Source organism: Homo sapiens, chromosome 4 (assembly GCF_000001405.40).
Source record: "Homo sapiens chromosome 4, GRCh38.p14 Primary Assembly".
NCBI lineage: Eukaryota > Metazoa > Chordata > Mammalia > Primates > Hominidae > Homo > Homo sapiens.
This window is the reverse complement of record NC_000004.12, coordinates 97,496,707-97,520,364: the sequence shown is the minus strand read 5'-3', so window position 1 is coordinate 97,520,364 and position 23,658 is coordinate 97,496,707. Positions and strand designations below refer to the sequence as shown.

At 33.4% G+C, this 23,658-nt stretch overlaps 1 protein-coding gene across 4 annotated transcripts in view, besides 1 other annotated feature; it reads left to right on the top strand.

Annotated features, from left to right (window-relative positions):
- The window catches only part of STPG2 (sperm tail PG-rich repeat containing 2), a 702,228-nt gene that overhangs the window by 623,112 nt on the left and 55,458 nt on the right, over positions 1 to 23,658 (top strand). The window lies entirely within an intron of this gene.
- Positions 19,652 to 19,781: an enhancer, noted in NCBI's record as "active region_21731". NCBI's record gives its function as "activates an Ori minimal core promoter by ATAC-STARR-seq in GM12878 lymphoblastoid cells {active_cell/tissue: GM12878}" and the evidence as "EXISTENCE:reporter gene assay evidence [ECO:0000049][PMID:35858748]".

Genomic DNA, 23,658 nt, shown 5'->3' with positions numbered 1-23,658 from the left:
TACAATTAATAGCCATCATTGACATCATTTGTTCATGCATTGAATGCATACCTACTTGTACTAGACTTTCTGCATGTAGACTACTGAGGATGTAATGCCAAGTCCTTGTCCTGCCCCTTTAAACTCAGACTCTAAATACTCCATACTTAGCTCATTTTCTCCTCTATACAATTATTTCCCTTCCACCAACTGTCTTTCACTGTGGCTGGAAATACCATAACCATTCCATTGTCCTTGGCCAGAATGTCCTCTCCACTTACACAAAAGCTTTACTCTTCTTATGGTTTTTCCCCCACTTTGTATGTATTGATTCATTTAATTTTCTAGCATCCTGATAGAGTAGGTACTATTTTTATCCCTATTTTACAGATAAGGACACTGAGGTACAGAAAGACTAGGTAACTTACTCAAGGTTACACAACAAATAAGATAAAACTGGGAATTGAAATGGACATTTCGACTCAAGAGCCTGATCCTTCAACTAGTTTATTTCAGGAATTACCTATCCCTTGTCCTTTCTCCTTTTTCTTCATCTCTCCACCTCTTGTTCCCTCTTCCTTCTCTCCTCTTCTCCCCTTTTAATCTTCCCTCATTTTTTTTTCTGAAATAATCTAGTTCCCACCAGTGTTGTGTCCTGGCTAGAGATGTAACATGATATTTGCTTAAATGACATCCTCTATTCAGAGCTATCATTTACTGAGTTAGTACATTCTTGACCAGGATCATCCCTCTATGCTAGAGTTTGCAGAGGTGTCTGCATCTGTATTTGATCCCACTTTCCTCTACAATGTCCTTCATTATGATAACAAGGGTGCTTCAATATCTGCTGGATCTATGTTTCATTTTTTAAAAATTTTTCTCACAATAGGGGAAATTTGGCAGTCCTTCCATACCTTGCTGGAGTTCTGGGTATCTCAGTGGGCTTGCCTATACTGATCTCTCCACATAACTATCTCAATTCTGTTTTCCTGTGACATGAAATTCTGGGGAACTTTCTAGACCTTGATGCCTTCCAGGGCAAGCAGATGGGAAGACAGTACTGATGTCCTCCACTCTGGATCCTCACACTTATCAGAGATGATAAGCACCCTTCCCACCATCTTTGAAGATTTCCCTGTGGTGGATAGTGAAAAGCAGGGTACAGGATCTTTATTGATTTCTGTTTCACTTTTCTATCTCTTCTATGCTCAGCTTTTTAATTACTTCTCCCATCTGTATTGGCAGCTCTGTAATTATTATTATTTTAAATTATTCGGTCTTAAATCTAAACCACTGTTTTTATTAATTTATTGGCTTTACATTTTTTAAACTTGAGAAAATATCTCGATTTTTGGTTCTACTGTCCCTTAGAATCTAAAGTTCTACAAATAGTTGGGTCATTCATAGAATAAGAAGAAAGTGAAGGTGAAAAGCACTTCTATGAATAGTTTTGATAAGGTAACATCAAAACTTGTTAATGTTCCCTGGCATTAGCATCAGATTGGAAGTAAAAAAGGATGGTGTTGAGCCTGAGCTGGTAGGGAGCCAGGATGGTGAAAATGTTGTTTTAATGTGACAAAATAGATAGTAGGAAGGCATTTATTATTTTTGACAGAAGTAACATAACAGGCAGTTCATTTGGAGGACTTTTGTTCATTTAACCTGGTATGAAATGGAGAAGGGAGAATAGAGAAAGCAAACTAAGTACTTTATTGTCAATAGCCAATTTTTGTCGCCCTGAATGGATCGTATTTACCAATTTACATTAATACAGTATTTTTATTTTTCATAAAAAATTTATGTCTATCTTCCCACCAAAGATGAAATTATTTTTGAAGGCAATTTGATTTTTCCCATATTATATACTTCTTAAATGTATACTCATTGCATTTAAAACTGCCAGTAAGTCATAGGGTTTTAGTGGGTGATTTGTGTTATCATGTCATAACTTTTAACCTTGTTTTATAAAAAGAAAATGAATACTTGAATGTATCTGCCCTCATTTCTAAGTGACTGTCTCTTTTATTCATGGTTTGTTTCCTCTGATGAGGTTCTCAGCAGATAGTTTTTATCTTGGTGTTTTTATAGTTTCTTAATTATTCACTGTCATTTTTAAATGAATGCTTCAGGAATACTTGAGTATTTACATACTCTTTGTCACCTTGCTTAACTTTGTATGTCTCATAGAAGGGTCTTGATAATTATTGTAATAGAACTAGAGAGAAGTTATGTCAGCCTGCACATACCATTAGTGCATTAATGTGTCAAAATAGCAGTGAATGACACAGCTCTAGGCAGTCTTAAAAGCTACTAATGGCAGACCAACTCTAAGGAATTGATTTGTAAGCAATACTAAAGCTATAAAACTTTCTCCTTGATATATAGTTTTAGAAAGCCTTTATTATTCGCCTTATTTTTAGTAGATGAGTAATAGCTATTTGAATAAGTGAGCAATCCATAAAGACAACATGGTTGATATTCTTTTTGTTAAAGTAGCAATAGAAAATTTCAAACAGGAAAATGAACAAGGTAGCAGCATATTGAAATTAATTCAGTTGTTAACATTTAAACTGCAATTTAATCATGGGTTGAGTCTTTTAAGTTATTGTTTTGTGGTTAATAGGAATGGATTTAGTAATGTGGTTTGTCAAATCAATAGCTTTTTGACACCTAGAATAATTAAAGAGAAAAATATTTGAAAAGTGAAGGAAACTTTATAAATAGAAATTTATGATAAATAATGTAATAAATAAAATTTGTTGGTTTTAAAAACTGAAAAAAATTGACACTAAGAACATACAAAGTTTAAAAGCTAACTGACCTGATATTTTGTATGTGGAATTATAGATAAAAACGTACTGGTATTATTCTCCAAATAGCAGTCAGAGATTCTTATGGCACTTTATTGTCCTTAATTGAGCCAAGTTGTCTCACTCCCAGGCAGCTCTGTTAGATCAGGAGCCATTTCCTTCATGTTTGTCATTGTAGCTTCCTGAATTAATGTCAATGTCCAGAACAAATTAGAAGCCCAGTAATTTTTTTGATACAGGGTCTTGCTTTGTTGCCCAGGCTGGTTTTGAACTCCTGGCTCAAGCAATTTTCCTGCCTCAGACTCTCTAGTAGCTGGGATAAGCACGAGACACTGCAATAAAAACAGCCCAATAAATATTTTTAAATGGGCTGGGTGCAGTGGCTCACTCCTGTAATCCCAGCACTTTGGGAGGCCAAGTCGGGCGAATCACTTGAGGTCAGGAGTTCAAGACCATTCTGGCCAACATGGTGAAACGTTGTCTTTACTAAAAATACAAAAATTAGCCAGGCATAGTGGCACAGGCCTATAATCCCAGCTACTCAGGAGGCTGAGGCAGGAAAATCACTTGAGACCGGGAGGTGGAGGTTGCAGTGAGCAGAGATCGCCCCACTGCATTCCAGCCTTGGCAACAGAGTAAGACTCAGTCTTAAAAAATAATAATAATAATTAAATGAATGTATGAATATATGCTCTCTCCAGGGCCAGACCATATATATATATATATTGTTGTTGTTGTTGAGATGGAGTCTTGCTCTGTCTCCCAGGCTGGAGTGCAGTGACACCAGTGGCACAATCTTGGCTCACTGCAGCCTCCAACTCCCGTGTTCAAGTGATTCTCCTGCCTTAGCCTCCGGAGTAACTGAGATTACAGGTGTGTGCCACCACGCCTGGTTAAATTTTTTTTGTATTTTTAGTAAAGACAGGGTTTTCCCCATGTTGTCCAGACTGGTCTCAAACTCCTGACCTCAGGGGATCCACCAGCCTCGGTCTCCCAAAGTGCTGGGATTACACGTGTCAGCCACAGCACATGGCCTATAATTTTAATAAAAATAATTTCTTATAAGTGTCGCAAGAAGGGCACAAAGGATAATGCAAGTAAGAACATATGTTTTGTGTCTCATATTTCCTAAAGCTTGCTCCAAGTGTACAGCTATTGAAAGAACAAGCGACAATGTAGTATGGTACACTGTGCATTACAATTGACATTCAAATTTGCACTTAAAATGAATGGGTTAGATGAGTCTGTTTCCTAGGTTACCTTTAACCTTAAAATTTGTGACTCTGGTTTAGTTCATGGCCAAAGTTACTGCAAATATATAAAATGAAAATTACTACAAAAATTGATATTTTGAATGAACCTAGAAATAGTTCTTTCACTGAAAAATGAACTGACCTCAGAATCAGGTAGCTCCATAGCTCAAGGATTTTATTCCACTGTGAATGACAAGTGAGGGAAAACAAAAGGGAGATCCTAAGGAACTTTGAAATTTCCCTGTGTGCACTTAGGGACAATGCTGGACAAAAAAATTATGGGTTGCTTCATTTAATTTTATTTCTTTCCTTCACTACCACTTGCATCATCTGTTTGCATTAAGTGTTAAAAATATGGTGACTTTTCGAAACAATCTCTTTAATTGGGCTGAAAATACAGTATTACAATGTAAAAACAAAATGTAGAAAATATTCGACATAACATTTAGGTGTCAAGTGTGCTGTGTGTGTGTACATATATACATACCTCTCTCTCTATATATATACACACACACATACACACATAAGTATATGTGTATAAAAGTTTGTCTGTATAAAGGAAACATAGTTTCTAATATGTTCTAGCTGATGGAATTCATAAGGAACTTTATACTCAGTAGTACAAGTACCTTTTTTAAAAGTTAAAAAAAACAATATGGCATAGTTCTAAATTTTTTCACACCTTAAGATTACTTTAAATTTCTTATTCTAACTTTACAATATTTTAACTTTACAAACTGCATTATATCCTAACTTCCTGTTTTAAATTGCTCCCTCAACTTACAATTTACTACTCTGGAGACAGTGGTTGACTTTTTATGGTGTGATTATTTTCTAGTTGTTTCTTATTTCAATTCCCTTTTCTGCTTTCCCACTCTAAGCACCCACAAACACATGTACATATCTTTTCTCATTTACTTGATATGTGGTCTTTACAATGAGGCTGTCTTTCTGTGACAATGAAATTTTATATCTTGTTAAAAATTCCAGAATATTGTTTCCCAAATGGGTATACATTTCTGAATACAAGACCCTAAATCTGAAAAGCCAGAAGGAAAAATGACTTACTTGTAATATCCATAACTACTTATTATAATGCAACCTTATAGATTTACTGAGGTCATGATTTACAAGCGTGCAAATTCTTATAAGTAAGGTTTTCATCTCTGAAAGTGTTTTACACCACAACAAAATAGATTTGTAGTTCACTTAATTATAACTGTATATCTTTATAGAACTTATTAGTCACGTCTCACGTTCATCTTAGGGTGATCAATTCCAGATAAATTTTTGATTTTGTCAAAAGTTCTGATTATTTTGAATTTAGCTTGATTTCACTAACATCTTGGGTTTAAAGACCCATGCATGTTTCAAACAATTCATCCTCAGTGTTGTATTTTAATGTTTATATTCATCATATTTTATGAACTTTTAGATAAGATATACCAATTGGTACCCCCAGGACTTTGCGAGGTAATGTTAAGTTCAGGAGAAGCCAGCTGCAACTAAAGAAATTCAGACTTGACTGTGTATATGAGTTCTGGTGGTAATAAAAAAGATAAAAGTACAAAGTAATTGAAGGCTGAAAAAAAAATTGAGCCAACTGGCACAAAGAACTGTGATTTTTAACTTTTATTTAAACATCTACAGCTAGCATTTTCAAGTATGTAAAAGCCTATACCCTTGAAGCTAATAAAATATAAGGATATATGTAAATGATTCAGTTGTGTTTACTCTTCATTTAAGTCATAGTAAATCATATGCTTTATGAAAAATACTTTTATTACTAATAAAATGCAATTTACTTTTTCTTCTTCATGAGAAATTAGAAGTCTTAGGAAGAACTTCAATTCCTCCTTTTATAAACATTCTTTGGGCATCTACTTCCTTAGCGAGAAGAAAATCACTCCTTGGGTTTGAGGACAATACTCAACTCAGTGCTCTAGACATGATCCCCCTCCAGGTTCTCACACTTTATCAATTTCCTCTAAATTCTGTTTCTTCAGACTCCTTTCTCATTCATCTCCTTTCTCTTATTTCTGTAATCTCTCCAGCTGCTTACTCTCTCTCTTCAGTAATGCAATATATTCATGACGCTGGGACGTTTAGAACAAAAACAAAACCTCCTTTCATAGCATATTAGGAACTCTCAACCTCTCTTTCCTCATGGCCAGGCCTTAGAGAATAGGCCAAATTTACCGTCATTATCTGTTTACCTTCCAAGCTTGCATAAACCTGTTGTGGTCTGTCTTCTACCACTCAGTGGCAACTGATTTTGTCAAAGCCAGCAGTGATTCCTAAATGCAAAATCCAAAGACCATGTTTTTGAAGCATTGTTTCTGACTTTATATATTTTGTTTGTTTTATTTTGTTTTTACAGCACTGGGCACTGTTAATAATTTCCTCAATTCTTTTTTGGGGACTCATTTTGGCCTAGATTTGTGACATTGGCTAGATAGGCACTACTGCATAGTTTCTTATCATGAAAACTGTCAGAAATATCTGGATTTAGTGCCCTTGTTTTGCTGCTTATGGTCTAGATTACTTTGGTCACATTAATTTAATTTCTCTAAACTCAGTTTCCTTTTCTTTGAAGTGAAGATGATAATCATATCCACTTCATAGGATTGTTAGAATTAAATTTTTGAAATATTAAAAGGCTTTGAGATATGATCTATAATAAGATATATATGTATATGTGCATATGTATATATTTGGACTTCATCTGGTTCCCTGGCACACAGTAGAACCCTTGGGATCTCTGGAGTGATAGGAGAGTCTTCTGTATGTGAATGAGATGACTGGTGGCTGGGGACCCTAGATAGCTTCAGGATGGGGGCTGGTCACTTGAAAGACCAATGCATGATTAGAGGGTTGGGACTTTCAGTCCCATTTCCCAACTTCTGGGAAGCATGGGGAGGATGAAAGTTGAGTTGATCACCAATGACCAATGAAATCAATCAATCATGCCTATGTAATGAAGTCTCCATAAAAACCCCAAAAGACAGGATTTAGAGGGGATTCTGGATAACTGAACGAGTGGCAGTTCCTGGAGGGTGCCATGCCTAGAGAAGCCATGAAAGCTGTCTGCCCCTTCTCCCCTTCTTTACCTTGCCCTGTGCAGTTCTTCCCTCTGGCAATTTATCCTTCGTAATATTCTTTATAATAAATGGTTAAATGTAAGTAAATTGTTTCCCTTAGTTCTGTGAGCTGTTCTTGGAAATTAATCAAATCCAAGAAAGGAGTCATGGAAACCCTAATTGATAGCTAGTCAATAAGAAGCACAGGCCACAATCTGTTCTTGCAACCAGCATCTGAAGTAGGGGCAGTCTTGTGGGACTAAGCCCTTAACCTGTGGAATCTGACATGCTCTCCAGGTAGATAGTGTCAGAATTGAATTGAACTAGAAGACATCCAGCTGGTGTCTGCTGCAGAATCATCTGCAGAATTGTATGAGGTGTGTGTGTTGTGGGGAAGCTCCACACATCTGTAGTCACAGAATTATTCTGTATTGTGAGAGTATAGTATGAAAAAAAGATTTTAGATTTTCCTGTATCACAGGATTATTTTACTGTCTGGTGTACGCTAAGCCCTCAATAAGTGATAGCTATTACTAATATTTTTAAACCATGAAGATACTCTTTCGTCCCCCTTCCTTCTTCTTCCTCCCACCCCTATCTTTTCTTTATTTTTGCTTTCCCTTCTCTTCCATTCATTTTCCTCTTTTCCCTCCCTTTCCTCTTCTCTCCTCTGTTCTCCCTTCTTCTCAGTTTCTTTTCATTAACACTCACATACTTCAAACACAATCCTAGCTTTAGCTACTATGATATCCCAAATCTGTTGATCCAGACCACATCTTTCCCAAGTGCTTCCAAGCTACATATGCATTCCATGCTAAACATTTACAGTCAGGGATTTCATAGGCACCTTAAAGACAGCATGCTCCAAACTGAAGTGAACGCTTCTCACAATTACCCTCTCATTTGCTCATTGCCTACCTTTCCTATCTTAGTTATTGATGCCAATCATGTAGTCCTGGTAGTTCTTTAATTTTACTATGTGTCATCTTTTATATGACCATTCTTATATCCTCTAGTTTATCATCTCCTTATTTTTCACCTAGATTTTTATAATGGCCTGTTATATGGGCTCACTACCTGTGGTTTTACACACTTCTAATTCAATGTTCAAACTGTTGCCATTTTGAAACTTTCAAAGTGCAAGTCCAATTTTCTTATATGACTTGTTAACTTCTTACATTTTCCTTATACAATTTCAAGATTATAAGAAAAAAAAGTTGAAAAAACAGCAAAGCATGCAGGTCCTTTCCTAGTAAAGTCACTACCTATCCCTCCAGCCTCATCTCTCACCACCTTCCACATGTAACAGCTGCTCTTTAAGGAACTTGCAGCTCTCCAAATATGGCATGCTTTTCACAGGTATCTCTCTACACTAGGAATTTTTTTTCTTCCTTTTTTTCTTGCAAAATCGTACCAGCTCACAAACATTTTTTTTTATGTAGGAAATTAATTATGTTAATTACATAATTGCTCTGTTTTCTATATATTTTTATTTTGTTTGTTATTATCTATGTATGGTAAGCGATCCTCAAGTAATACATTTTGATAAATGCTTGACATGCTTGAAAATAATTTTTATTCTGCAGGTATTGTGCATAACGATGTTTTATATATACCAATTAAATAAAGTTGGTTAATCATGTTTAAATCTTCAAAAGTGTTACTGTTTTTTTGTTGTTGTTTATTTCTGTTTATTCTACCAGTTACTGAGAGAGGTATACTAAAATCTCCTACTATGACTGCAAATATATGGATTTCTTCTTACTCCTCTGTTAAAATTTTCTTTATATATTTTGGAACTTATTATAAGTTACAAAGAAACTCAGGATTGTTTTACTTTCTTATTGAAATTATTATTGTATCCTTATGAATTATCTTGCTTTTTATCTTTAGTTTTTTTCACCATAAATTCTTCTTAATCAGATATTAACATAACCATTCCTCTTGATTTTAATTAGTATTTTGTAGTACAGTTTTTTCTGTTCTTTTACTTTCACTTTTCTGTGTCTTCATAATTTAAGCATGTTTCTTGTAAATAGCATGTACTTTGGTCTTACTTTTTAAACCTATTCTGATAGTGTCTCTGTTTTGATTATAGTTTTTAGTACTTTTTGAATTTACATAATTACTAAAATAGTTGTGTTTAAATCTTACTATACATTTTCTATTTCTTCCATGTACTTTGGCATTTTCACTCCTCCCTTTTCTCTTTCTTTTGGATTAATTGAATATTTTTATTCCAGTTTTTCTCCTTTGTTAGCTATTATTATTATTAGAGATGGGAGTTTGCTCTGTTGCCCAAGCTATAGTGCAGTGGCATTATCACAGCGATGTACAGCCTCAAACTCCTGGGCTCAAGCTATCCTCCCGCCCCAGCCTCCTGAGTAACTGGGATTACCGGCGTGAGCCACTGTGCCCAGCAGCTTTAATTATATATTGCTATATATTATCGATTCTTCCCTGTATTCCTTTTTAGTGTTTATACTTAAGATTTCAACATACAGGGGCACAAACCCTATTGTGAACTGCACATGTGAGGGATCTAGGTTGTGTGCTCCTTGTGAGAATCTAACTAATACCTGATGATCAAGGTGGAACAGTTTCATCCTGAAACCATCTCTCCCACCCCCAGTCCATGGAAAAATTGTCTTCCATGAAACTGGTCCCTGGTGCCAAAAAGATAGGGGGCTGCTGCTCAAGACTATAGAGTTTTAGGTTCAGTAACCCCAGCATTATATCTGTGATGTATAGAAGGTAAAGTGTACATGTGAATGAATCAATGATTTGCAGTTATCTACACACTACCACACAGATTATTAGATAATTTAGAATCTTATGTTCCACACTTTTACTTCCTTTTCCTTCTACTGTCCTAATGCAAGCCCTTATCAGTTGTTGCTAGAAAAAATTAAAATGGTTTGTTGTAATGATTTGCTATAAACACTTTCTCCATATCAATATATAATTTAGGGCCAAAGATGCAATATTGAGCCTGACAAGAATGTATCAACTTACCCTGGTAATGTTAACCCTTCTTCATATCATATCAAAGGAGTAAAACTGTGGAACACAGATTCTAAATTCTCTAATAATCTGTGTGCTAGTGTGTAGATAATTTCAAATCATTGATTCATTTACATGTAGACTTCGCCTTCTACATATCACAGACATAATCCTGGGGATACCGGCTCTAGAAACTCTATAGCCTAGAGCAGTGGTCCCCAATCTTTTGGCACCAGGTGTCAGTTTCGTGGAAGACAATTTTTCCACGGATTAGGGGTGGGAGGGTTGGTGGGGGTGCTTAGTAGAGTGTTCTGTTCTTACTAGGCACTTAATGGTATATGTAAAGTCATTGATAAGGTTTCAATGTTCTTAAATTTTTGAAAATTAATTCTAATAATCAATTGAATAACATTTTTACCCGGATTACCTTATTATGAGATGTTATCTGTAATTCTGAAGCACAAACCACTATTTTTCCCCTTCAAAGTGGCTGCCTCTTTTCATCTCTTTGAAGTGTGGCAAAAATAGAGAAAGCCTTGTCAGTATTTTTTGTTTTCCCTTATATTCCATAATATTAAAAGTGCATATTTGTCTTTATTTAAAATCAATTTCCGTGAGTAACTTTCTAGTGTTAACACCTAAAAAAAGGCTTTGTTTTTAGATTTTTGTATATTGTATACCACAAATCCTCATTAAGCTATTCTTTATCACACTTTTCTTTCTCATTTGTAACTTCTCTATGATTCTCTGAACAATGTGCTAATGAAACTTCACTGTTCTTTATGGTTTATGTTAAGGCAAGACATTATTACAATTTCTTGTAAGATTTTTGTGAACCTAATTGAAATTTAGAACGTCAGTTGTCATTTTTATAAATTGGGTGTCTAAAGCTCATAACAATGAATAAAGTTTTATCTTGAAACCTTGAATGGAAACTTGCTGTATTATATAAATTTCCATCTGAAGTTTCCACACTGACCTCTTAAGAATTCTGGGGAAAAAAAAAAAGTCAAATTCTTTTCCACCTTTGGGAAGGAGCTACAGACTGTCAGGAGTGCAAAGACAGAAACGGACCAGGTTCAAAATCGAAACCCTGGAGAGACATAAGCCCATAGAAATATGTAGGGGCCAGATTGGGCCTAACAGTGAAGGCGATGCTGTAGAGCAGGAATTTAGCTCTGAGTACATTGGTAACACATTAAAGAACTCAAATACACAACAATAGGAAAATAGGAAAATGGTTAATTAATTACAGTTAATTCACTCAGAAGAACATTATGCAGATTTTAAAAAGACAATGAAAACAGTGTAGCAAAGGGAAGAATTTTTATGATGCAAGAGATGGGTAGTTAGAGTGTTTGCTTCTCTACAGATAATCAGAATACTTTGGCCCTCTAGTATAAAGCACTATTAAAGTATATTTTCTGTGCTGATTATTTTTAATAGGTAAATTTTAGTTCATAATCGTGGATTTATATTTTGTATTTTCATGCTATAATTAATAAAAATTATTTTTTGTTCAAACAAATTCTACTTATTTTGATAACATCATTATGTCGTTATAATTCTAAACATACTTTTTATTAAGTTAATGAAATGGTGAATAATAAACTATTTTGAATAACACAGTAATACTGAATTAATAATTAATATTTGTTGATATGGTATGTTGCATTTTTATTCTCATTCAATCCAAAATGTTATCTAATTTGCATTCTGATTTTTTTACCTGTACATATATTGAAATGTATTGCTTAATTTCAAAACATTTGAGGAAAAGAGTCTAGTTATTTTTTATTGATTGATTTCTATATTCAAAGATAGTGAATAACCATATTTTGAATAATTTTTGTAGTATGAAATGTGCCATAGATGTGTCATGTGTCCATTATCTGTCATGAACCAATATATGGTAAACTCTGGTGAATGTTCCATGTACACCTGAAAATAGTGTGTATCTTTTTTTAAATAGACCAATTCAGTATTCTCAATATTTCAGTCATGCCTATTTCATAAATTATTTTGTTTGGATTTCCTATACCCTTATGGATGTATTTGCTGTATTGGTTACTATGGCATAATAAAGAATTTGCCTGGTCTTTGTTCCAGGTTCCTTCACAAACCTCTGGAATTTCCTGAATGATAGAAATAAGGTGACTCATAGTGGGCTCCTATATAGCTTCAACATGGGGACAGGTCATGACACAGACTAACCACATGGTTAGAAGATAGGGACTTTTGGCCACAGGACCTCTGGGGCTGGGGAGTAGCGGGCGGCTAAAGATTGAGCTTAATCATGTGACTGATGATTTAATCAATTGTGCCTATGTAATACAACCCCAATAAAATCTTTGGATGTTAAAGCCCAGTGGAGCTTCCTGATTGGCAAACACTTTGATGTGTGGCAATGGTAACATGCCCTGACTCTTTGTGGGGAAGGCATGGAAGTTCTGCATTCAGGACTTTCCTAGACCTTACCCTATGTGTATCTTTCATAATATTAATAAAACTGTCATCATATGTATAGCACTTTTCTGAGTACTATGAGTCTTTCTAGCCCCTTATCAAGCCTGAGTGAATCATGGAAACCCCTGAATTCATAGCCAATTGGTAAGAGTGCAAGTGGCATGGGGACCCACTAGGGCTTGCAGCTGGCATCTGAAATGAGGGCAGTCTTATGGAGGATTTTGCCCTTTAACCTGTGGGATTTGCACCAACTTTGGCTAGTTAGTGCTGGAATTGTATTGCAGTTGAAATTGGATTGTAAAACAACTGAAGTGGAGTAGTTACTGAGAAAGATGTGTTAAGAGCTGCAATCAGTTTTGGATTCATTATTTTCGTTTTGTCAATTTGTTCTGTGTATATTTTGAAGCTATGTTAGATATATACAATTTAGAATTGTTATATCTTCCTGGGGGGAGTGATTCTTTTATAATTATGAAATATTCCTAGTTATCTCTAGTCATAATTCTGGTGTTAAAGTTACTGGCATATTTTGGTTTGTGTCCTCGTGGTTTAACTTCTTCTAACTTTTTTCTTTCAATTTTTGATGTCCTGTTTGTTTTATTCTGTTTTTGTTTTTTTAGAGAAGGGATCTCACTATGTTTGACTACTTCAAACTCTTGGGCTCAAGTCATCCTCCTGCCTCAGCCTCCCAAGTAGCTGGGATGATAGGCACATGCTACCACACCCAGTCCTATGTCCTTATCTTTAAAATTTGTCTCTTATTAGCAGGATATAGTTGGATTGTAAAAAAATTCAAGTCTTATGATTTTCAAGTTTGGATTACATATTATATTATGACAATATATTTACTGATATATTTGTATTTACATTCTCCTTTGTATTATTTTTAATGTATTGCTCCATCTGTTTTGTCTTTGCTTTCCTTTTTTCTTGCTGCATTTGAAATGGTCAAGTTTTTTTTAATTCATTCTCTCTCTCTATTAGCTTATTAGTTATACATTTTATACTACTTTGTTAGTGATTTACAGATCATAACATGCATCTTAACTTACTGGAGTCTAATATAACAGTCCATTTGCCATTTTCTAGGCAATTCTAAGAGTTTAGAATACTATGGTTCCTTTTATGATTGGTATTACTTTTGTAATGCATTTTAATTCTCCATGTACATCATTATTTATTATAGTCATTATTTATTTAGATTTAACTATATAAAACACTTTCCATTTGTGTTTTCAACTTGGATAGTTTTTTTTTATTTCTGCCTAAAGAATGCCTTTTAATTTTTCACTTAGTTTATTGACATCAATTTTTTCAGTTTTTATTTGTCTGGAATTGCCTTTATTCTGCCATCGTTTTTGAAAGCTATTTTCTTTGCATGTGTAGAAGTTCAGGTCGGCGCCTCCAATCTAAACCTCCATGTCCCAGCTGTAAGCCTTGTCTCTAATGCATCTTTGTACTGTTGATCCTATTTCTTGATCAGCCTATTAACTTTTTGTTCATCCAGAGATTGCCCACAAAAATTGTAGAGTCTCTAGATAACAATTTTCTTTCTTCAGAGAAAATTTACACTGTTCTATTGTAGGCAGCTAAAGTAGGACAGATTACCTCAATCCAGTCAGTGTCTAAGCTGTCTTGAAGTGAGTTTGCAGTTTTTGTAAACATAGGCTATGTTTGGTTCACACTCACTCCTACATTTCCACAGATCTAACACAGTGTCTGAAGCCTTTTTTTTTTTTTTTTTTTTTTTTTTTGGTCTCCTATTTTCTGGTCCTGAATTCTTGCTGGTCCTCAGACCATGACTGCTGAAACTATGTAACAATAGTAGCTAGTCAATTTTATATAAAAACCTCTTCGAAATGAAAATACATAGGATAGCCATTGTACAACTAAATATCCATAATAAATAATAATTAATTAGTTGATAAGCCACTAATACATCCACTAATAAATTAATATACATGGCACAATGTCAAGACCACCACTTAGGATACAGCATGCCTCCTGGAGTTGCACAATATAGTAGTACTGACCTGTAGTTAGGTTAATTTTACATTTTGAGAAAAGGAATAAAAAATATAAAGTAGTTTATTCAAAATACATGCAACTGTTACACACTATGTGTCAAAATTACATATTCAAAGTAGATAACTCATTATAAGGACAATATCAGTGCACAATTTCAATGCATAGCAGTCCAAACAATGCCATTGAGAACTTAGGAACTTTGCATTCTCCAGCATGCATCCAATTAAATCTGCCTTTGTCATCCTATACTCCTGTTTGTATCTGAGTCCCTCTTTCCTTTTTCTTCTCTTTTCTCTCTATTAATTTTTCAATAATCAATATCCCCAGAAATCTTCAGCCAAGGACTATCAACTTCTATTTTCATATTCTGGGTTAGATAAACTAAGTTTCTTAAAAAGTACATATTTGCTGAAGTTGTTCATTATTGGGACAATAGTAAGCAAACATCACCTGAGGGTACTCATGATAAAAATGGTAGGAATGCCATTTGGGGTGATTTGAGTCATTTTAAACACAAGGATTTTCCAAACTATGAAAAGACAAAAGAAAAAAATGAAAGCATTAGCTCCTTCACATATCTTAGAGGTCATCTTCAGTAAATGCTTTGACTGCAAGTTGGATTGGTATTTGAGTTCAGTCTTATTTTATTAGCTATTTCTAGGCTAAAGATCCTACTTAGATTATCTAAATGAAAAAAAAAAATACCACTGTAACAGACAACCATTTGTGACTGTCCTTTTGTGCCTGGTCTTCAGATTTCTACTTTTTGGTTCTTTCAATTTGGGCAAGCCTAATTCCTACAAATGTTGAGCTTGCCTTGTCTGTACCATGGTGACAACAATAACTTTTTTTCAGAATTGTAAAAACAAAACATTTACATCACAGTTGCCATTGAATAGTCCCTGGGACATAGTAGGTTTTTCTTTTGACATTCTGGTAAAACAAAAGGATTTCTAAGTAACATGTCAAGCCCATTTCTTTTTGCTTTGTGTGCATTTTAACAATCCCATAGGAAGTTCCTTATAAGCACTTTCATTACTTATCTGCTGCATTGTGTGTGATTTGGGTTGTTGTTTTCCTATGTTTCAGATGTTATAGATGGAGAAAATAGAATATTCAGACTTCAGGATTTTAAAGAGTGGAAAGTTTTACAAGAAAATATATTTTTCAACTGAATATAATAATTGGTTATATGGAACATAGCTTAGAATTTAAAAACTACAAGAGATGTTACTTTTCTCACATTATTTCCCATAGGTACTATTTAAATTTTTCTCATTTTCCAATGCTGTTCCTTTCCCCCACATTCTCTCCCTACCACAAGTTCTATAAAGTTTATTTAATTGCAGAAATGTAATTTTGATGTCAAGATTAGAATCAGTTGAGTAGACTATAAACTATAGATGAGTTTTAGTTATATATAATAAAAACTTTAAAAGAATTACTATTCCTTTCCCATGTAATCCAAATTCTATGATACATTTTAAGGAAATAACCAGAAAAGAGGGGGTAACAGGTAATAATTATTGAAAATATTTAAATATAAATATTTAAATAAAAATAAAATAAAATATTTAAATAAATATTTATTTATTTATTAAATATTAAATAAAATAAAATATTTAAATAAATATTTATTTATTTATTAAATATTAAATAAAATAAATATTTAAATAAAAATAAAATAAAATATTTAAATAAAAATAAATTAAAAATAAAAAATATGTTTATATGAATATGAAAATATATTTTTAAAATATTTAAATATATTTTTAAAATATATTTATATGAATATGAAAATATATTTTTAAAATATTTAAATATATTTTTAAAATATATTTATATGAATATGAAAATATATTTTTAAAATATTTAAATATATTTTTAAAATATATTTATATGAATATGAAAATATATTTTTAAAATATTTAAATATATTTTTAAAATATATTTATATGAATATGAAAATATATTTTTAAAATATTTAAATATTCCATAAACTCAGGACAATTTGCACACACTGTTATTTCCATGTAGTGGATTAGCTTATTAAAATGCTACTTAATGTATATTTAAACATAAGGAGATATTTGCATTATAATTTATAGTATAAAAATCAGAATTACAAATTCCATTTTAACTTTTAAAAACATACATACTAGCCAGGCACGGTGGCTCATGCCTGTAATCCCAGCACTTTGGGAGGCTCACAGTGTGAGACTCTGTGTCAAGAAAAAAAAAATACTAAACACATATAAGGAAATACACTAGAATATTGGCTGCAATAAGAATTAGTTGGTACATTTTGAAATATTAAATATATTTTCTTTTTTCTGATATTTTGTTTTCAAATGAGTACTTTTTAAAAAGTAAGCATTATTTTAAACTATGCGGTCTTCTCACCAGAAACAAATTTAACTTACTATTAAATATGTTATCCATAAATTCTGTTCATAGCATTTGACTATTTCCATGGTGTAAATACTTCCACAATGGCTGACTTTAAGCTACCAATGTTTGAATAACTAGCTTATAGAGATTCTGAAAATTTAATAATTGGTCCGTGAGCCAGTATGAGCCATTCTAACACACTATTTCAGGGATCCCATTAATCATCCTGAAAACTAGGTAAATAAAAGGAAATAATCAAATATTTATAATCCTATTATAATTGAACTATCCCTTGGGTAACCAAATAGTATATAGGAAGTATCTCTTTATAAATGATTACTTTATAAATAAAAACAAGATAATAAAATTAAATATCACAAATTTATATCCTCAATGTATTAATGGATCTAGGCTTCGAGCTTCAATTGGAGGAAGTAAGAGAGTGAATGAGAGAGAGAGAGAGATTGCTATTCACAGCGTAAGGGGCAAGAAAACAGTGATTAATTAAATGTTTTAAACTGTGTGTTTCAATTTAATCTGCATGCAATTATTCCCTGTTCTATAAATTGTATGTTTTAGTATTCCTCCCACTTTCCAGTCTGTTCCTATTATTTTTTTTGTCAGGGTTTATATTAAAGACTGCCTTGCAACTCTATTTTTTTTTTCTAGATGGATTGCTCTAGTTTTCTAAATAAATTCAATATTTACCACCATTTCTTTACTAAGTATGGCTATTTCATTTTTTTAAATTTTTGAATTCTTGATATTTGAATCATCTTTTGTTTGTCTGGATTTAAATACTAGTTTGCTTTTTAGCCATCCAAGCACCCATGCATACTCTTTTAAGTTGTCTCCTGTGAATGATAGCCATTTGCCTTTATAGTCGGAAGTCAACATTTTGGATAACAATTTTCACTCACACATTGTTTTCCCCATCAGAAAATTGAAGACAGTGTTTCACTGTATTTTGGAATTGAATGTTGCTGTGATGAAATTTAAGGCCATCTTGAATAATTTCTTTTTGAAGTTGACTTGTTTTTTCTGCCTGTTTGCCTAAGGTATTTTTTTTTATCAGGGACGCACAATAATTTAATTATGATTTGTGTTATTTCTGAATATTCTGTTAAAGTTTTTTCCTGATATATAATATAACCTCTTCATATTCAGATCCTCAGGTCTTAGAAATATTACTTTATTATATTCCTTAAACTTTTTATTTCACTCCTGTTTCTAATAAGTAGTTTTTCATATATTCAATTATCTTTGTGTGTCTATTTATCAACTCTCAATGAGAATCTATTTCCCTTTTCTCTGAATTTCCTATATTTGCTTTGAATCTTTTCTTTATGTCACTTATTTGACTTTTTATTTTGTTTCTCTTGTTTCTTGCTATTTCTAATCTATCCAATCAATTTGACTATTTTGGTCCTCAATTAATTTTCTTAGTTGTGAAATCTTATATTTCAACTCATTTTTGTTCTCTTTCATCTCATCTCTGTGATCCACTTTATTGACTTCTACTTACTCTTATCAAATTATTTTGTATTTCAAAATGATCTCTAGAGTATGCTTTTAGTTTTTGGATTATGTTTCATGCAGGTAGTTCTTTGTCCTTATTTTGTATATAATGTTATTGTTTACTCTTTCCTTTTTTTTTTTGAGACAGGGTCTCACTTTGTCACCCAGGCTGGAATGGAGTGGCACGATCTCGAACTCACTGAAGCCTTGACCTCCTGGGCTCAAGCAATCCTCCTGCCTCAGTCTCAATGTAGCTAGGACTACAGGCATGCGCCACCATGCCCAGCTAATTTCTTTTGTGTATTTTTTTTCCATAAAGTTGTGGTCTCACCATGTTAAGCTCAGGCAATCTGCCTACCTGGACCTCCCAAAGTGCTAGAATTACAGGCATGTGCCACTGTGCCCTGCCATATATAATGCTTTATTTTTTTTCTCTTCCACCTCTAACCTTATCCTTCTTTTCCTTTTTTTTCTTCCTATTGCGATATGTTTACATAGTTCATGTATGCTATTTCTTTGAATTTTTAAAATGAGCAGCTTGGCTCAGATCTTGTATCTGCACTGACTTTATGTGACTGAATTATCCTAGACACATTTTCCACCTTTTAAGACGATTTTCTCTACACTACTATATTTAAAGGCTAGATATTTTGATCTAAATATTTTCTCTAACTTGTGTATTTGGTAGTATTCATGAACCTTTCCTGTACGTATCCACAGTCTCTCTAGTTGTGAACTGGATCAGGTCCCAAAGACATCTCTTCAGCATTTCCCACTCTCCCTCCATCATCAACATTTTCTATCTCTTCTAGATGATCCCAGCAGTAGAAAAACAGGTTCTTACATGCCATAGTTTTGAAAGTGCTTGATTGATCACCTTTCTCTCCAGTCATTGCTACATACCCCTGTCTCCATTTACTGCAAACTTCCTTAAAATATTTTCTATAGTTAGTTGCCCCAACTCTTTCCCTCTTATTCTCCCTGCAACTCAGTAGGCCTTCACTCTTTACGTTACATAGAAACCACTCTTGTCATGGCCAACAGTAATCACCGTGTGGCTACATTCAGTGGTCAATTCTCGGTCCTCATCTTATCTGATTATTAATTAGCAATATTTAACATAGCACTTGACACTCATTCTTACTTGAGTCATCTGCTCTTGACATCCAGGACACCATCCTGTCTCACTGACCAGCCATTTTCAGTTTCCTTTTCTGGTTCCTTCTGATCTTCTTAACTTATTAAAGCTGTAATGCTCTTAGGCCCTGCCTTTTAACTTCCTCTTTTCTATTTCTCACAACCTTGGTGAGAGCTTTCAATGCTATCCATATGTTGAGAAGACCTTATATTTTATCTCCAGTCAGGCTGTCTTCACTAAACTCCACACATCAAATCTCCATTTGGATGTCTAATGGGCATTTCAAAATTTACATATCCAGAGCCAAACTCCTGATCTTTTTCACAGTTTCTGCTTCTTTAATAGTCTTCCCCATCTCAATTAATGGCTACATTTTTATTTTCTGCCCCATCTCAATTAATGGCTACATTTTTATTTTCCGGGTATAATTTTGCAGACATACTTGACTCACTTCTTTTACACCCTCATCTAATCAGTCAGAAAATCCTATTTGCTCTACTTTCCAAATACATCCACATTTCAGCCTCTTTTTATAACCTCTTTTGCTACCACTATCATCATCTTTTCTCTGAATTATTGATATATCTTCCTAATTGGTCCCCTTGCTTCTGTTCTTGCCCCTCCTATTGCCTTTTTTTGAGACCATAGTCAGAATGGCCCAATTAAAATATGTTAGATCAAGAGTATCCTGTGTTTGAAACTCTCCATGGCTTCACTTCTCACTGCATGTAAAACTTAAAATACTCAACAATGATATGAGGCCTATGCAATAGACCTGCCTCCAGGCCCAGCCCAATTACTCTTTTATCCCATCTTCTATTTAATACTAACCTCTACCTAGCTCATCCCATCTAAGTGGCCCTGTCTAGCTGGCTGTTTCTCACGCCTGCCCTTGCACTAGCTGTTTCTGCTGCCTGGAATCTCCACCTCCACCTATCTACATGGTTCATTCTCTCACTTCCTTCCAGCCTTTGTTCATTTGCCACCTTCTCCCAGAGGCCTTCCCTGACCATGCTATTAAAAATTGGAACCCCTTTCCCCTCAGGACTTTTCTATCTCTTTTTTCTCCTTTAATTTTCTTCATACCATTTAAAATATTCTAATAAGAATATGATATCCTATAAGAATATTGAATATAAAATTTATATTAGAACATGATCAATGCCATGAAGAAAATTAAAGGAAATTTACTTGGTTTGTTTTTAATATCTGTCTCTATTTTAGTGTAAATTCCATAAAACTAGAGATTTTTGTCTGATTTGTTCACTCGTATTTCCTCAGTGCTTAGAACAGTGCCAGATACATAATAGTTTTCCAATTAAGAATGGTTGAGTAAACAAATAAATCAATGAAAAAATAAATTGTGGACGGGTGATGCCTTAGCTGCAGCTGAATGTAATTCATGCTATGAGATGTGGGCTTTTTCATATTGTTTCATAAATTGCCATGTCAGGGCACTCTCATCCCATCTAAAAGTCTGACAATCCCTTGGTTTTTTGCTCTTTCATTCAGGCACACTTATTACAGTGTGCCTGAAGATAGAAACTCTTGATGATACTTTCTCACTGATATTTCCCTGTATTACGTAAGTTGTTTGTAGTTAGACTTATCCTGATTTTCCTAGGGCTCGTGAGTCACTCCCTCAGTTAGGTTCACTAAAAACTACAGAGTATTGATGAGAATTTACAGGATTTTTGTGACTCATCATTCCTTAAGTACTGGCTTCTTGAGAGATGGGGCAAGGCGTGATGGTGCTGAGATCATCTGTTTTCTTGCTTTGGCATTCTACTTTTTCTGGCTGCATATTCTGTTGTACTCCTTTCATAATTTGGGTTGTGCTTGTGAGTTTTGTTGTTATTTTTACTTTTTTTTTATTTTGTTAAATATTGTGGGAGAGAGACTTTTCACTTCTGTTTTTATCCTATCTTTGCAAGAAATCCAGATATTATTTTTTTAATGAAGCAATAGTTAAAAATAAATCGACAATCCATGCTATTGTTGTATTTTTGTTTCTTGTTTTTTTATTTTAGTTAAAATGTGCAACTATTTGTTGCAGATTTCAAGATCATTATTTTTTTTTTCAGGTTGCTTTTTACCTTTCCAGCTGTAGATTTTACTGTGGAAATTTCTAAGTAACATTTGCCTAAACTGTATAATCATGCACTTTTCTTTAGTTTCAATGTGAACATCCTTGTTTTGTGATATATAAAAGCTTTTATAATTAAATAACAACAAAATTCAACAGTATTACATATAATCAAGAAAAAAGTAAGTTTTCTCAAATGCTAAAGCAGATCTTTATGAGGAGATTTTTCTAAATCTTAAATTTATTATGAAATTTGAGGAACATGGACTTTGTATTAAAATTCTTTTAACATCTTACATAAAAATGACACATACCTTTAAATATTTCAGCCACTCTAGGAACATGATGCCTCATTAACAAGTTCTCTATTTAAAGGTGGTCAGCATGGTTTGCATCCGAAATAAAAACTGAGTCATTATATGAGAGCCTACCTGACCCACAGTGGACTCATGGGGACTAGACTATGTTTTTCTTTCTTGAAATTCTTCAATTTACAAAACAAATGCCCTAATCACACACCCTTGTTTTCAGGAAAGAGAAAAGTTCTTATTGAATTTTCATCTTTCACTAGAGTTCACTTAGTAAGGGCTGTCTATAGCTGCTTGTTCCTGTTCCACTTCCTGCACACAGTCAGGGGAACTGGTTCTCAGGCTGTCATCATTAAAATTTGTTAAGCCTCAGCCTTAGTAAGTTATATTGAGGCAATAACATAAGAATGGAATAAATAATAGAAAACCTAGGGATAATGAGAAATGTAGGCATCAGAAGAATGTGTATGTAGATACAAAAAGGATGAAAAATGTTAGTGATAACTTGCTAATTTATGTTTTCCTTATTAATATTTTGAAATCATATGCATTTCTCCAATAGATTCTCTAAAAGTGTTGCAAACAGAAGGCAAATAATGGAATGAACACTTACAGTATTACCACCCTTTCTAAAAATTCTAACTCAACATAACAATTTTTAAATCATAGTTTCCAAGTAATTATCTGATATTGAGTGTAGGATAATTGAAAGTAATTTTAGCTAACAAAATGAAATTGGCAGAAATGTATGCTTATTTTAACTAAAGATTTTAAATAACAGAAGTATAACTTTCTCTACTAATTGGGAGATTTCCGTTGGTAGATGATTTCTCAAAATTTGAAAAATAAGTTAGAAAACACAATGGGGAGAAAAGTATTGCCTTTTTCTGTCATACTAGAACTTAACTGAAGCATTTGTATTGAAGTCACATATTTTGTTTATGTAACATAATCAATAATGTTAAATAATTGACATTTTTAAGTTACTAATTCCCTTACACATTATAGTGAAATGATTATAATTGGGCATGTAGCAAAGGATGTATTTAATCAAGAGTTTTGCTAATTATTTTCTAGCTTTTCTTAGATTGAGATGGCAAGTAGTCGTTAGTGTATATGCTGCCTGCTTGTGTTATTTTCTGTTTTGATTTTCTTTAATGCTTGAGAAGTAAAAGGAATAAGTAAATTTTAAAACTATTTCCTCATTTGTATTTTAAAGAATGCTTATTTTTCTTATACAACTCAGCTTTAATAATGCTTCTTTTTTCCTGTGTAAAATGCTCACAGGAACTCTGCTTTTTTTAAAAAAAAAAAAAAAGGAAAAGATGGAACTAACCAGGAAAATTGATTATTTTTAATAGCATTTTAATATGGATATTATTTTCTCTTTCTTAATGGAGTCATGAACTTCTGTCTAAAGTATAACAGCAGAGAAACAAACAACTCCTGAAGAAATACTTGGCAGACAAAATGAATGCCACATGGTGAGTCTCACCTTTCAGCAAAGTCAAAGCATAACCAAAGGTACATTTGTAGGAGATTATTAGATAAGAGAAATGATTCACACACTGCCGGGATACACATATTGCTCTGTGGGA